This window comes from Homo sapiens, chromosome 1 (genome assembly GCF_000001405.40).
Source record: "Homo sapiens chromosome 1, GRCh38.p14 Primary Assembly".
In the NCBI taxonomy this organism is placed as follows: Eukaryota; Metazoa; Chordata; class Mammalia; order Primates; family Hominidae; genus Homo; species Homo sapiens.
Genome location: NC_000001.11, coordinates 17,317,625 through 17,334,225, shown reverse-complemented (window position 1 = coordinate 17,334,225; position 16,601 = coordinate 17,317,625). Strand labels below are relative to the sequence as shown.

Below are 16,601 nucleotides of genomic sequence, written 5' to 3'. Positions count from 1 at the left end.
CCGCACCACCACTGCCACATTGTATTTCTTTGTGGTTCACTGACTAAGGATGGAATATTTCGAACTCCCAGATGTCTGACTGGCTAGAAACCATGCTTTTTCTCTACTCAGTCTAAAGTAAGCTCCAGGTGTAGTTTCTCCTACAGAGACATCCTGCAGGGATTAGGAGGTGGGCAGGGGATGAGACGGCACTCTAGGATCCTGGTTGTCACTTACCCACCCCGGTGAGGTAGAGTAGAGCTTTGACTGGTGGAGTCTTGGGTCCGTAGTATGAAATCTGAACCTATGGGAGAGCAGATCACTAATGACTTCTCTTAGTCATTCAACAAACACCCACTGGACCCCCTCCTATGTGCCGGCTCAGGGTAGGGCACTGGGGAGACAAAGTTGGGCAAGAACTGGTCCTAGCCTGTAAGGAGTGGCCCCATCCGATGGGAATGGAGGGAAAGCAAAAAGCTTGAATGACTGGTGCTACAGAAGAGCATCCTATGGGGGCCCAGCAATGGAGACACTCTGCCTGGCAGGGTCGTTTGTGAAGGAGTGTGCTTTGAGGTAGATCTGGGAAAGGGAGTAGGGGCCCAGCAGCTGGAGATGGGGCAGAAGAGGCGCTAGAGAGAGCTGATCATAAGCCACAGAACTGACTCTGGCAAGCAGAAGGGATCAAGGAAAGACCTGAAGAACCAGACCCTGGAAAGGCCGGGTCCTGGGGGATCTGGGGAGCAGGAGCTTTGAGTGGATGGAGGTTTCTTCAGGAAGAGATGAGAAAACACCAATCCACTGTGCCCAAGGTTCAGAAATCCTAGGAGAACACCTCGGATTGGCCAGAGGAGGGTGGAGCATCTGGGTTGACACATCCAAGCAAAATGGCGGTGGGGAGTTTCCAAAGCAGAGCCAAAGAGCTGCCACCAGAGGAAGAGGAGCTCCTGAGGGGCCACGCGGAGGTGCTCGGACCTGCCCTGTAGACAGTGGAAATCCAGGAAAACGCCACGGCCATCACTGCCTCTGCCTGGACCATGGTGTCAGCCTTCTGTCTGGTCTCCCTGCCTCCCACCCACTCCCTAGATCCTATCTACTTGCTAGGCCACAGCCATTGGGATCCTTCTAAAGTACAAATGCTGTCTTGTTATTCGCTGGCTGAAAACTTTTTGTTGGCTTCCTGTTGTTTGCAGAAAATGAGGTCCCTGATACCAAACTCTTCAAACTGACTCCTTCACCTCCTGTTCCATCTACCTTTCTTGCCATACAGAACTTCCTCAGTTTCCCCAACACGTGTCTCACCCTTTTCTCATCCAGAGAGTGCACACAGCCTGCCCCTCTGTGTCAAACTCTCTCCTCTCTCCTGCTCTTAGGTGGGTAGTTCGTGTCACCCTTCAGCTTGCTACTTCTTTCAGGAAGCCTTCCCCGACCACCCCCTCCCCAGCCTGCCTGGATAGTCAAGCTCTGTGTTCCCCCAGGGAGAAGCCTGCTTGGCTGGTTCTGCTGGGAATAAGTGGCTGTTGGCCCAGAGATCTGTGGGAACCCCAGAGGGTCCTGTTGAGCCCATCTACAGGCAAAGGGGGTGTAGTAGGTGGAATGGTGGTCCCCAAAAAGATACATCCATATCCTAATCCCTGGAACTTGTCGATGTGATTTCATTTGGAAAAAAAGTCTTTGCAGATCTAAGTTGAGGATCTTGAGACCAGATGCGGTGGCTCATGCCTGTAATCCCAGCACTTTGGGAGGCCGAGGTGAGTGGATCACTTGAGGTCAGGAGTTTGAGACCAGCCTGACCAACATGGTGAAATCCCATCTCTACTAAAAAAAATACAAAAATTAGCTGGGCATGGTGGCGAGTGCCTGTACTCCCAGCTACTTGGGAGGCTGAGGTAGGAGAATCGTTTGAACCCAGGAGGCGGAGGTTGCAGTGAGCCGAGATTGCACCACTGCAGTCCAGCCTGGGCGACAGAGCGAGACTCTTGTCTCAAAAAAATAAAAAAGGATCTTGAGATGAGGAGATCACCCTGGACCATCCAGCTGGGCCCCACATCCCATGGCAAGTACCCTTATGAGAGAGGCAGAGGGGGATTCCACAGAGAAGGGGCAGAGGCAGTGCGACCATGGAAGCAGACTGGAGTGAGACAGCCACAGATCAGACTGCTGACAGCCCCCAGAAGCTGGAGGAGGCAAATAATTATTCTCCCCTGGAGCCTCCAGAAAAATCTGGCCCTGCTGGCACCTTGACCTCAGACTTCTGAACCCCAGAACAGTGAGAGGATACACTTCTGTTGTTTTAAGCAAACCATGGAGATTTTCTTTCTTTTGTTTTTTTGAGACGGAGTTTTGCTCTTTCACCCAGGCTGGAGTGAAGTGGCGCAATCTTGGCTCACTGAAACCTCCCCCTCCCGGGTTCAAGAGATTCTCCTGCCTCAGCCTCCTGAGTAGCTGGGATTACAGGCGCTCGCCACTACGCCCAGCTAATTTTTGTATTTTTAATAGAGATGGGGTTTCACCGTGTTGGCCAGGCTGGTCTCAAACTCCTGACCTCAGGTGATCCACCCGCCTCGGCCTCCCAAAGTGCTGGGATTACAGGTGTGAGCCACTGTGCCCGGCCAGGCCACCATGGTGATTTTCTATACCAGACACAGGAAACCGATCCAGGAGCATGGACCAGCATCCCTTGGGGCTACCAGTTTGTGGCCTCCATAGAACTCAGTATCATTTGCAATTGTTTGTTTACCAGTAGATTCTCTGATGCTACCATTCATAGGTTGTAAGCCCCATGAGGGCTGCACCCTCAGCTGTCTTATTCATTTCTGGATTCCCAGTGCCTGGCAGTGTCTAGCAGTGTCTGGCATGTGTTAGGTACTGACTAAAGATTTGCTGAATAGAGTTTAATCTAAACCCTGACCTCCATGAACCCCTGGTAGCCGTATATTATTGTCCCCAAGGACACTATGGCTGGAAGAAGCCATCACGAGCTCTTCCACAGGGCAAGAGGCTCTGCCAGGCTGGTGCTGTGGATCACGGCAGGACAGAGTGTGTGTGGCTGCCCTGCTGAAGCCCATCCACACTGCCACCCCACAGCTATGACACTCACCTTCTGGTCGCCTGTGCTACCACTGGCCACTTTCATCGTCAGGGTCACCTCTACCCCAGGGTCCAGGGGCCATGTGGAGGAACCTGTGGATTTCTTCTTGGCTGGAGGGCCGTGGGCAATATCCACGACCACCCCTGGGGAGGCGTTGATGCTGAAGGACGTGCAGTCCTCAGGGGCAGAGCTGTGGACAAGACACATGGGAAAGCAGAGGATGCAGTGAGGAGGGGCTGGGCCAGCCATGGCTCTCCCAGCATTTCTCCTTGTGATGGTTAATATTAGGTGTCAGCTTGTTTGGACTGAAAGATGCGAAGTATTTTTTCTGGGTGTATCTGTGAGGGTGTTGCCAGAGGAGGTTGGCATTTGAGTCAGTGGACTGGGAGAGGAAGACCCACCCTCAGTATGGGTGGGCACCATCCAGTCGGCTGCCAGCAAGGCTACAACAAAAACAGGTGGAAGAGGTGGGATCACCTTGCTCACTGGGGCTTCTGGCTGCCTTCTTTCTCCAATGCTGGATGCTTCCTTCCGCTCCTCCTGCCCTTAGACACTAGACTCCAGGTTCATTGGCTTTTCGACTCTGGGACTTGCTCCAGTGGCTTGCTAGGGGCTCTTGGGCCTTTGGCCACAGACTGAAGGCTGCATTGTTGGCTTCCTTGGTTTGAGGCTTTCAAATTCAGACTGAGCCACTGCCAGCTTCTCTCTTCCCCAGCTTGCAGATCGTGGGACTTTGCCTTGTGATCGTGTGAGCCAGTTCTCCCTAATAAACTCTCTCTCACACACACACACCCTATTATTCTGTCCCTCTGGAGAACCCTGACTAATATACTCCTTTTCCCAACAGGTGTAAAAACCAAACAGCAGCCAGTGCTTACTCTGACCGTGGGGAGTAAGTACTGTAAGGTTGTCAGGAGGGAATGAGACTGACAGAAAGCGAATCCCCTGACCTGAAGGGTTTGCATTTGAACTAGAAAAATAGCAGAGGGATGGGCACACTAAAGGCTCCCACACACACAGATGTAGGCATGGAGGGGTGTGTCCACCCAGAGGTTTCCACCACGCCACTGTGCACACGCAGGATTGTGCATGTACAAAGCATCATAGACTTCTGCTTCTGGAATTGTGGCAGACCAGGTACTCTGAAGGACCTTCCTCTTAAGAAACAACTGGATCATGGATAAAATATACTTTTTAAAGTATTGCTGAACTCATGAGAAATAAGGTACATCTCCCAGAATTAGCCTTCTTCATGTGCACACAAACATACACACACATGCACATACACAGTGGTCAAAGTGAAGAACATCAAAGACAAAGAGAGGATCTTAAAGGCATTCAGAAAGGAAAGTCGGATTATCTAGGAGGAAATAACAATTCGATTGGAAGCAGACTTGTCAACAACAGTGACATCCAAAAAACAGTTGTGTCATCTCTTTATAGTATTTCGGGAAAATAGTTGACCCTTGAACAGCACAGGTTTGAACTGCGTGAGTCCACTTCTACTCTGATTTCCTTCCTCCTCTGCCACCCCTGAGACAGCAAGACCAACCCCCCTTCCTCCTCAGCCTACTCAACATGAAGACGAGGCTGAAGACCCTTATGATGATCCACTTCCACTTAATGAACAGTAAATATATTTTCTCTTCCTTATGATTTTCTTTTCTTTAGCTTACTTTGTTGTAAGACCACAGTATATAATACATGTAACATACAAAATATCTGTTAATCAACTGTTTATGTTACTGGTAAGCCTCCCATCAACAGTAGTCTATTAGTAGTTAAGTTTTGGAGAGTCAAAGTTATACAAGATTTACTATTTTTTTTTTTTTTTTGAGACAGAGTCTCACTGTCGCCCAGGCTGGAGTGCAGTGGCGTGATCTTGGCTCACTGCAAGCTCTGCCTCCTGGGTTCACGCCATTCTCCTCCCTCAGCCTCCTGTATACACAGATTTTCAACTACATTGGGGGTCAGCAGTCCTATCCACAATGTTATTCAAGGGTCAGTTGTAACTGTTAACCTAGAATCGTGCACTCGTACAAAAAATATCTTAATAAAGATATTTATTAAGATACTAATAAAATATTAATATTAATATTTTATTAATAAATTATATCTTAATATAATTTATTATATTAAGATATCTTAATAAATATCATAATAAAAATATCTTAATATAGATATTTTTGGATGAACAAAAACCGATATTTTAAAATCAGATTTTCACCAAGGCAATTTCTGAAGGCGTAGTTTAGGATGGAGGTATCTGATGTCATAAGAATGGTCTGAAGTGCAACAAAGAATCGTGAACAAATAAAATGGTAAATATTTTGGTAAATCTAAACCAACATTGTATACAAAAAAGTCATAAAAACTGTGGGATAAAAAAGGCAGAATATAATTTGGCAGGAGGATGAGAGAGTTGAAGTATTTTGAGGTCCTTGATTAAAATGGGAATTAAGATATTGTTTAACTCTAGATTTTTTAGAGTTAAACTTATTTTTTTTTTTTAGAGACAGGGTCTCCCTTTGTCACCCAGGGTAGAGGACAGTGACGTGATCACAATTCACTGCAGCCTTGACCTCCTATGCTCAAGTGATCCTCATGTCTCAGCCTCCCAAGTAGCAGGGACTACAGGTGCATGCCACCACACCCAGCTAATTTTTAAAATTTTTTGTAGAGACAGAGTCTCGCTATGTTACCCAGGCTGGTCTCAAACTCCTGGCCTCAAGCAATCCTTCTGCCTTGGTCTTCCAAAGTGTTGGGATTACAGGCATGAGCCACTGTGCCTGGCCTAAACTTTTATGCGCCTGGCCTATACTTTTAAAGGTCTTTGGCCGAGCACGGTGGCTCATGCCTATAATCCCAGCGCTTTGGGAGGCAAAGGCAGGAGGATTGTTTGCACCCAGGAGTTTGAGACCAGCCTGGGCAACATAGGAAGATCCTGTCTGTACAAAAAATAAAACAATTAGCTGGGTATGGTGGCTTGTGCCTGTAGTCATGGATACTCAAAATGCTGAGGAAAGAGGATCACTTGAGTCCAGGAGGTCAAGGATGCAGTGAGCCATGATTCTGCACTCCACAACATCTGCACTCCATCCTGGGCAACAGAGTGAGAACCTGTCTTTAAGAAACAAAATAAATAAAGATATTCACCAAAATAATAGAAATAGCATTTATAAATTTCTACACATGGAAAAAATGCAATAATAAGAAAATGAATAGGAGAACTGCCTTCCAAAAAAGCAAGGAAAGAGAAAAGGCCACATAGGGAGAAATTGGACAAATAAAAATAAAAGATTGGTGAGAACAAATCCAAATATGTAAATAATTGCTTGTAATCCCAGAACTTTGGGAGGCTGAGGTGAGAGGATCACTTGAGGTTAGGAGTTTGAGACCGGCCTGGCCAACGTGGCAAAAGCCAGTCTCTACTAAAAAAAAATACAAAAATTAGCTGGGCATGGTTGTACGTGCCTGTAATCTCAGCCACTTGGGAGGCTGAGGCAGGAGAATTGCTTGAACCCGAGAGGCAGAGGTTGCAGTAACCTGAGATCACGCCACTGTACTCCAGCCTGGGTGACAAAGCGAGACTCCATCTCAAAAAAAAAAAAAGTAAATAATCAAAATAAATATAACAGGATTAATATTGCCAGTTAAAAGAGAGTTTTCATTAAATAAACAAAATCCAGTAATATACTGATTATAAGAAACACATCTAAAATATAACGATCCAGAAAAGTTGAAAAATTTTTAAAAAGGATAAAAGATACATTAAGCAAATGCTAACTCAAAGAGAGCTGGGATGGATATATTAATATCAAAAGAATGAATTATTAGACAAAACACATTGGTATCAATAGAGAGGATTACAACCTAATGATATACGGTTTAACTTACCTAGAAGATATTCTAAACTTGTATGCATCTAATAAGAGCCTCAACATATATAAAGCAAGGCTGGGCATGGTGGCTCATACCAACACATTGGGAGGCCAAGGTGGGCAGATCGCCTGAGCCCAGGAGTTTAAGACCAGCCTGAGCAATATGGTAAAACCCCATCTCTACAAAAAATACAAAATAATTAGCCAGGCACTGTGGCATGCACGTGTAGTCCTAGCTACTCAGGAGGCAGAGGTGGGAAGATCACTTGAGCCTGGGAGGCAGAGGTTGCAGTGAGCCAATATTGCACCACTGTACCCCAGCCTGGGTGACAGAGTGAGAGGGTGAGACTGTGTCTCAAAAAAAAAAAAAAAAGCATATAAGGCAAACATTAATAGAAATACATTCATAGGGAAAAGAAGTTGACAAAACCACCATCAGAGTTGAAGATTTCAACTCTTCTTTCTCAATCAACAATAGATTAAGCAGATAAAAATTAAGTAATGATACAGATTTTGCTAACATAATTAACAAAGTTGATTTAGTCGATATATATAGAATTGTGTATCCCACAAGTAGCAAATATACATTTTCCCAAGCAAAGCACACACGGGTCATGGGTCATTTAAAAAAGTGACTATGTAATTGGCCATAAAGCAAGTCAATGACAGTGTGACAAACATTAAAGCATAGGTAATATATGGGTAGCAGAGTCTCTGATCATAATGTAACTAAGTTAGAAGTCACTAGTATAAAGTATGTTTTTAAAAGCACCATACATTTGGAAATTTAAAACCAGACATCTCAATTACTTACAAGTCAAAGGACAATTAATAATGGAAATTAAGTAATAATACTTAGGACTGAGCAATAACTAAAATACTATTTTCAAAACTTTTGGGGAGATGTAAAAGTGATACTTTATGCCTTAAATGTTTATATTTTTAAAAAGAAAGTAAAAGCTGAAAATTAATAGAAAAAGAAAATGTAATGTAAAATCCCAAAATAAAATAAAGTTGGAAGAAATCTGTGAAATAATAAAACAAATCAATAAAGCCAAAAGTTGGTTCTTAGAATAGACCAATAAAACTGACAAATCTCTGGCAACATTGATCAAGAGAAAAAATATTAGGAAAGCAAAAGAAATATTACTGAAGATAAAGCAGATTTTTTTTTTTCTGTAGATAGTTGATAAAAGGTTAACAAAAGACCCACAGAGAACGTCCTGTTTGACAGGGAAAATGTGAAAACCTTCCCTTTAAAGTCAGAAACATGGGGCTGGGTGCAGTGGCTCATGCCTGTAATCCTAGAACTTTGGGAAGCTGAGGTGGGCAGATCCCATGAGGTCGGGAGTTGGAGACCAGCCTGGCCAACGTGGCAAAACCCTGTCTCTACTAAAAATACAAAAATTAACTGGGTAGTGCACGTCTGTAATCTCAGCTACTGGGGAGGCTGAGGCATGAGAATCGTTTGAACCTGGGAGGCAGAGGTTGCAGTGAGTCAAGATTGTGCCATTGCACTCCAGCCTGGGTAACAGAGTGAGACTCTGTTTAAAAAAAAAAAAATCAGGAACGTGGTAGGATCAAAAAGTCACATCTTTTTAACATTGTGTGGATGATTCTAAGCACTGCAGCAAGAGAAAAAAAGACATAAAGTAAAAGATATAAAGAGTGAAAAGTAAGAAAAAAACTGCCAATATTGACAGAAAATACAGTTGTCTGCAAACTCCAAAAGAGTGAATTAAACTTTTTTAAAAATTAAAAATAAATAAAAAGACAAAAGTTTAATAAGGTGACTAATAAAGTAAAGAGGAAAAAATAAATTACATTTCTATACATCAGCAATAAATAGGAAACAAATATTTTTCTTTTTTTCTAGCAAACCATTTCTTTAAGAAGAAAACAATTTTTAAAAAACTGATGTAATTTACAAAAGGAAAAAATACTGTAAAGTACCTAGGATAAATCTAGCAAAATGTGTAAGATTTTTATGAAGAAAATATTCAAACTTTATTGAAAGCCATTAGAGAAGATCCAAATAAATAGAAATACTATGTATATGGTTAGGAAGCCTTGTTGCCGTAAAGGTATGAATTCTCTCCAATGGATTTATATATTCAATGGAATTTTAGGGTTTCTTATGGAACTTGACAAGTTGATTTTTAAATCTACACGAGAAATCCAGGAACTAAGTTGGTCAAGGTACTTGTAAAGGAAAGTAGTAAAAGGTGAGGCACTTTCTCAACCAGGTATAAGACTTCCTATAAAGCCATGGAACTTAAGATGGGGTTTTAATGGCTCAGGCCAAGACAAAGGAAGGATAAAACTTAAAGGACATACAACTTGATCTATGACAGAAATAGGCTTGCAGATGGCTGGAGGTAGTAGAGACTATATCATAAATGTTGCTGGAGCAATTGCTCATTCATATAGAAAATACTAAATTGGAAAAATAATTAAATTGATCCCAGCCTCACACCATACACAAAAATCAGCTGGAGGGAGATAAAGACTTAAATGTGAAAGTCAGAACTTTGAATCTCTAGAAGAGGATACAGGATAACATATTTATGCTTTCTCTGAAACAAGACTCAAAACCAGTAAACCTGAAGGAAAAGATCAAAAAATTCAACTAGATGTAAATAAATAGGCCAGGTGCAGTGGCTCACACCTTTAATCCCAGTGCTTTGGGAGGCCAAGGTGGGAAGATCACTTGAGCCAGGAGTTCAAGGCCAGCCAGGGCAACATAGTGAGACCCTGTTTCTATTTTTTAAAAAATTAACATCAATTTAAAAATTAAAAAAGAAAATAAATTCTGTTAATCAAAAGACAATATAAAGTAAAAAGACAAGCACAATGTAAGGAGAATATATTCACAACATAAAACCAACAAAGGCTTAGCATGCAGACTATTTAAAGAACTTAGGCAAATCAACATGAAAACATGAAGAGGCACTCCACCTTACTAACAAGTAAGAGAATGAAAAGGTTAACACCATAAAGAAATAGGGTTTTATACCCACTCAATTGGTGAAAAATAACACTATAAATGACACGATTCAACAGAAACTCTAACACACTGCTTACTGGAGTGTGAAATTAACCATTTTGCAAAAAAAAAAAAACAAAAAAAACCCAACTTGGTGTTATTAGCCAGCCCCAAACCCAGCAATTTGACTTCTAGGCAGATACTCTGGAGAATCTCTTTCATGTGTTCACTAGGAGACATGTTCAAGAAAGTTCAGAGCAGCCCTTTCTGTAATGTGAACAATGAAACATGGTCTAAATACCCACAAAAGAATAGCTAATAAATTATAGTGGATTCACAGTGGACAATCCCTAGAGAGGCAGAACTCCGTCCACATAAGGTCACAGAAACACTTAGGATTACATGTGTTTTTTGTTTGTTTGTGTTTTTTTTGTTGTTGTTGTTGTTTGTTTGCTTGTTTTTTGAGGTGAGATCTCTGTTGCCCAGGCTGGAGTGTAGTGGTGTGATCTCAGCTCACTGCAACCTCTGCCTCCTGGGCTTAAGCTAGCCTCTCATCTCAGCCTCCCAAGTAGCCAGGACTACAGGTGTGCACCATCACACCCAGCTGATTTTTGTATTTTTGTAGAGATGGGGTTTTGCCATGTCATGCAGGCTAGTCTTGAACCCCTAGACTTAAGTGATCTGCTGCCTTGGCCTCCCAAAGTGCTGGGATTACAGGCATGAATCACAGTACCTGGCTTAGGATTACATTTTCTATTTTTATCTTTGTATTGAATATTTGTCTCTATATTAAGAGTTATATGTATTCATTATAAAGAATTAGGAAACTACAGGAAAAGTATATGGTGGACAGACTTCTAAGATGGTCCCCAGTAATTCCCGTCTCTGCTGTTCATGCCCTTGTGTAATTCTCTCCCCTTGAGTATGGGCTGGACCTACTGACTTCCTTCTAACCAAGGAAGTAAAAGTGCTGGAATATCACTTCTGTCATAAGGTTACAATAGAATTCTCTCTCTGTCTCTCTCTCTGCCTCTCTCTCTGCCTGTCTCTTGCCTTGCTCACCTTGATGAAGCAAGCTGCCATTTTGTGAGCTATGGAGAGGCCAATGTGGCAGGAAACTGAGGGAGGCTTCCAGCCAACAGCCAGGGAGGAACTGAGGTTCCAACACCCTGCAAGGCCCTGAATCCTACCAACAGCCATATGAGTGGGCTTGGAAGTGTCACCTTCCCTGGTGGAGCCTTAGCATGACTACGGCTCTACCAATACCTTGATTATGAGAAACCTTGAAGTAGAGAACCCAGCTAAACCATACTGGATTGCTAACCTATAGAAATTATGATACAATAAATGTTATCATTTTGAGCCACTAAGTTTTGGGACAATTTGTTACACAGTATAGATAGCTAATACAGTATACCAGAAGAAAGAAGAAGTGGGAGGGGGAGAAGGGGAGAAAGAGAGAAAAAGAGAAAGAAGAAGGAAAGAAAGAAGGAAGGGAGGGAAGAAGACATAAATTGCCTAGAAGAAAATGAATCTTACCACTTACAGACTGTGAAAGGAAAATACATCTTGGGACCCCAAACTCACTAAGCCAAAGGGAAGAGTCCTGGGAACTGGGTCCCTCAAACCTGCCTCTCATGGTTCATAAATAAAATAACTATAAAGATAAAAAGCTACATACTTCCCTCACAATTGGCCCACAAGGAAATTCCCTGTGGGCCCCAAAGATCTTTACCCTAAAACAGTTCTGTTGAATTTCTCCCTAGCAATTGTACATTTATAGCTTATCTTTTTTTTTGGGGGGGGATGGAGTCTCACTCTGTCACCCAGGCTAGAGTGCAGTGGTGCAATCTCAGCTCACCGCAGCCTCCGCCTCCCAGGTTCAAGCAATTCTCCTGTCTCAGCCTCCCAAGTAGCTGGGACTACAGGTGCATGCCACCACTCCCGGCTAATTTTTTGTATTTTTAGTAGAGATAGGGTTTCACCATATTGGTCAGGCTGGTCTCAAACTCCTGACCTCAGGTGATCCACCCGCCTTGGCCTCCCAAAGTGTTGGGATTACAGGCATGAGCCACCACGCCCAGCTGATAGCTTATCTTTACAGGTACAGGGCAAAGGACAGAGCTTATCTTTACAGGTACAGGACAAAGGACAGAACTCAAAGTCATCCCTCTGCTCCCCTGAGACAAATGCATATGTAATTGCTTCCTCTCCGCTATATTTATGTAATCTCATGTAAAAATGCAGATTCACTGAGCTAGATGAATGCATAAGTGACTACTCCTCTACCTTGCCTCACACGAAAATGGTGTTTTCAGTAAAAGGCTGATCAAAGACTCAAAAGGATGCAACTGTTTGTCTCTTATCCACCCACACATTAAAAAAATTTCTTCATCTTCTTCCATTATCCGCCCTTTCTCCTTTAAATATCCAAGGCCTCAAAATCATCTTCAGAGAAGGGCATGGACCTGCCTCCCAGACACGGGTCCTTAACTTTGGCAAATAAACCTTCTAAAATGATTGACACTCATCTTGGTCATTTTCATTGATTTACAAGACAATCACTAACATTCTGATGTTGATCCTTCAGGAGATGGAATTTGACATAGCCTTTGAAGAACCTAAGAGGTCTGAAGTAGACAGAAGAGGAGATTTCATTCCATCTCCTGCCCACCCTGGCTTGGGCTCTCATTCTACCCTCACGAAGTCAATTTCACATTCTTAAATGACAGCAATTACTTACAGGCAATTTACTCTGCTCCAGGCACTGTTCACATTCTTTCCACACGTTAATTAATTCGGTTCTCACCACTAGCCTGTAAGGCGGGTACTGTTCATTTTACAGATGAGTAAACTGAGGCACAGAGAGGTGAAGTCACTTTCCCAAACTCAAGAGTTAGGTATATTGGATCTCTGCTTCATAAAGAGAGTGAGGGTGGGCCCTGGCCTGGCCCCCAGTGGTCCCCCGTGCTGCTCTCCCTGTGCTATGGTCAGACTGAATGGCCCACAGTTCCCTGCACCTGCCCCCCACTTTCCCATCTCCCGGGCTTTGCTTCTCACCTGCCCCTCATCTGGAGGGCTCTCCCTTCCCACATCCTTCTTGCAGAATCCAATCCAGCCCCAAAGGCCCATCTCAGTGGGTTCTCTGCCATCGAATCCTCCCTTTATCACTCCAACCAAAAGGGATTTCTTCCTCAAAATGAGATCAGCCCTCTGTGGTAGGCAGAACAATGGTCTCCCAAAGATGACCACACCCTAGTCCCCCAAACCTGTGAAGATGTTACCTTACACAGAAAAGGAAACTTGCAAATGTGATTAAGTTAACGATCTTGAGATGGGGAGATTATCCTAGATTAGCCAGATGGGCCCAATGTAACCACAAGTGTCAGAGGCATTTGAACCAGAGCAACTCCATCTTGAATAGGGGTTGCATAAAATAAGGCTGAGATCTGCTGGGCTGCATTCCCAGTAAGTTAGGCATTCTAAGTCACAGGATGAGATAGGAGGTCAGCACAAGACACAGGTCATAAAGACCTTGCTGATAAAACAGGTGACAGTAAAGAAGCTGGCCAAACCCCACCAAAACCAAGACGATGACGAGAGTGACTTCTGGTCGTCCTCACTGCTCGTTATACACTAATTATAATACATTAGCATGCTAAAAGACACTCCCACCAGCGTCATGACAGTTTACGGATACTATGGCAACGCTTGGAAGTTACCCTATATGGTCTAAAAAGTGGAGGAACCCTCAGTTCAGGGAATTGCCCACCCTTTACCCTGAAAACTCATGAATAATCCACCCCTTGTTTAGCATATAATCAAGAAATAACCATAAAAATGGGCAACCAGCAGCCTTTGGGACTGCTCTGTCTATGGAGTAGCCATTCTTTTATTCCTTTGCGTTCTTAATAAACTTGCTTTCACTTTATGGATTCACCTTGAATTCTTTCTCAGGCAAAATTCAAGAACCCTCTTTTGGGGTCTGGATTGGGACCACTTTCCAGTAATACAAAGGTCTTTATAAGAGGGAGGCAGGAGGGTCTGAGTCAGGGAAACTGTGGTGATGGCAGCAGAGATCAGAGTGATGCTGTTGCTGGAAGGGGCCACAAGCCAAGGAATGCGGGCACCTCTAGAAGCTGCAAGGAATGGGTTTGCCCCTGGAGCTTCCAGAAGGAATACAGCCTTGCCGACACCTTGATTTTAGCCAAGTAAGATTCATATTTTGGACTTCTGATCTTGCAAACTGGTAAGTAATAAGTTTGTGCTGTTTGAAGTCACTAAGTTTGTAGTGATTTGTTACAGCAGCAATGTGTTATATTAAGTTTACCCCACAGCTGCCTCCTTAGGTATTTTAAGTTCGGCTGAAAGGTTTTTTCGTACATAGTAAACTGTAACCTAACTGGAGGTGTAAACAGCCCGTGACCTACTTTTATACCAAGCACTGTTTTGGCTGATCTCAGGCAGCCAACTGTTCAAACCATGTTCAAATGAGGCCGATGCCGAGCTGTAGTCAATCCAGCTGTTTCTGAGCCTCGCTTCCGTGCTCTGTGGGTCACTTTCGTTTTTCTGTCCGTAAATATTGTTCAACCATGTGGCAGCTCCTGAGTCTTTCTGAACCTATTCTGGTTTGGGTAAAAGGGGCTGCCTGATTCACTAATGGTTCTTTGCTCCACTAAGCTATTAAATTTAATTTGTCTTGTGTTTCTTTTAACAAATAGGAAACTAATACACCCTCTGTCTTTGAATGTCTCTCTCTCTCTTTTTTTAAGCACAGTGCACTGCAACTCAACCTCCCAGGCTGAAGTGACCCTTCCACCTCAGCCTCCTGAGTAGCTGGGACCACAGGTACATGCCATCACCCCTGGCTAATTTTAAAATAATTATTGTTTGTAGAGATGGAGTCTCCTTATCTCCAGACTGGTCTTGAACTCCTGGGCTCAAGGGATCCTCCCATCTTGGCCTTCCAAAGTGCTGGGATTACAGACATGAGCCACCACGCCATGCCTCTGTCTCTCTCTTGATCCTAGGTAAAACCCTGTACTCTTGAGTGATATGATGGCCGAGGTCTGGAAAAGTGGCAGACAATCAAAAAAACACTTGAACCAAAATCAGCATCTTCCTAAGAAAAAGGAAGAAGCAAGGGGCATGTGGTAGTAGATTTTTTTAAAAGTTAGTATACTGGCCAGGCACGATGGCTCCCGCCTGTAATCCCAGCATTTTGGGAGGCTGAGGTGGGAGGACTGCTTTCTACCAGCCTGGGCAAAATAGCTAGACCCTGTCTCCACAAAAAGGAAAAAAAAAGGCTGGGCGCAGTGGCTCCCGCCTGTAATCCCAGCACTTTGGGAGGCCGAGGCGGGTGGATCACAAGGTCAGGAGATCGAGACCATCCTGGCTAACATGGTGAAACCCCATCTCTATTAAAAATACAAAAAAAAATTAGCCGGGAGTTGTGGCGGGTGCCTGTAGTCCCAGCTACTCGGGAGGCTGAGGCAAGAGAATGGCATGAACCCGGGAGGCGGAGTTTGCAGTGAGCCAAGATCGCGCCACTGCACTCCAGCCTGGGTGATAGAGCGAGACTCCATCTCAAAAAAAAAAAAAGAAAAAAAATCAGCATGCCAATTTTCGCCTTGTGTGCATATGAACGGCAAAAGGTGAAAATATAAAAATGTTTATTCAGAGCTCAAAGTCACAGGAAGTCTGATCAAGACATTAAGACACACTCAGCAGTCAGGTTATTCTTCCCGCCTCCGTTTGGGAGTTTGACATTTAGAATTTCTGTCATCCTCAGTGACATTTCGGTCTTGGCACCTTCTCCCGTCCTGACACTGTTGCCTGAGTTGGTGTTCACATGCCTGCAGCAGATGACAAGCTAGTCACCTTTCTCTGTGTGGCCATTAACCTTTGTTTTCACAATCATCCTATGAGTGAGCCATTGTTATTCTTTTACAGATGAGAAAACAGGTTCAGAGAGGCAAAGTGACGTTTCTGGGTGCTGGCTGATAATGGCAGGTCTGGGTCCTCTTGCAGCCCAGCCTGGTGCCATTCCTGCCACATCACGACTACCTCCTTCTCTGCATTGGTGCCACTCTGCTGTGCCCAGCATCCAGCACTTCCTAAAGACCAATGCTTCCCAAAGTGTGGTCTTCGGAACAGCAGCATCTGCCTCACTGGGGAATTTGTTAAAAATGCAGATTCTGGGGCTCCACTCAGACTTACTGAGTTGGAAACTCTAGGAGTGGGGCCCAGAAGTGTGTGTTTTTTGTTTGTTTTGGTTTTTCTGAGAGGAGGTCTTGCTGGAATGCAGAGGCACAATCATGGCTCACGGCAGACTTGAACTCCTGGGCTCAAGCAATCCTCCGGCCTCAGCCTCCTGAGTAGCTGGGACTACAGGCACACACTACCACATCCAGCTAATTTAAAAAACATTTTTATAGAGATGAGAGTCTCAGTATGTTTCCCAGGCTGGTCTCGAACTCCTGGCCTCAAGTGATCCTCCTGCCTTGGCCTCCCAAAGTGCTGGGATTACAGGCGCAAGCCACAGTGCCCGGCAGCAATCTGTGTTTTAACACGCTCTCCAGATGCTTTTGATACACACTCAAGTGTGAGAACCACTGCCAAAGAAGATGCTAATACGAGTTTGCTGAATTACCCTGATTTTTGAGTG

The 16,601-nt window shown here is 44.0% G+C and overlaps 1 protein-coding gene across 8 annotated transcripts in view; it reads right to left on the bottom strand.

Moving 5' to 3' along the window:
* Positions 1-16,601, bottom strand: part of PADI4 (peptidyl arginine deiminase 4) — a 55,808-nt gene that overhangs the window by 29,779 nt on the left and 9,428 nt on the right. For 7 of the 8 annotated variants that reach the window (NM_012387.3, XM_011541151.2, XM_011541150.1 and 4 more), the window contains exons 2-3: positions 3,077-3,257; positions 217-283 (exon numbers count right to left, since the gene is read on the bottom strand). In NM_012387.3, coding sequence (NP_036519.2) covers positions 217-283; positions 3,077-3,257 — 248 coding nt within the window. Of the gene's footprint in view, positions 1-216; positions 284-3,076; positions 3,258-16,601 lie in introns of those variants that run through there. The other variant, XM_011541152.1, reaches the window with a different exon arrangement.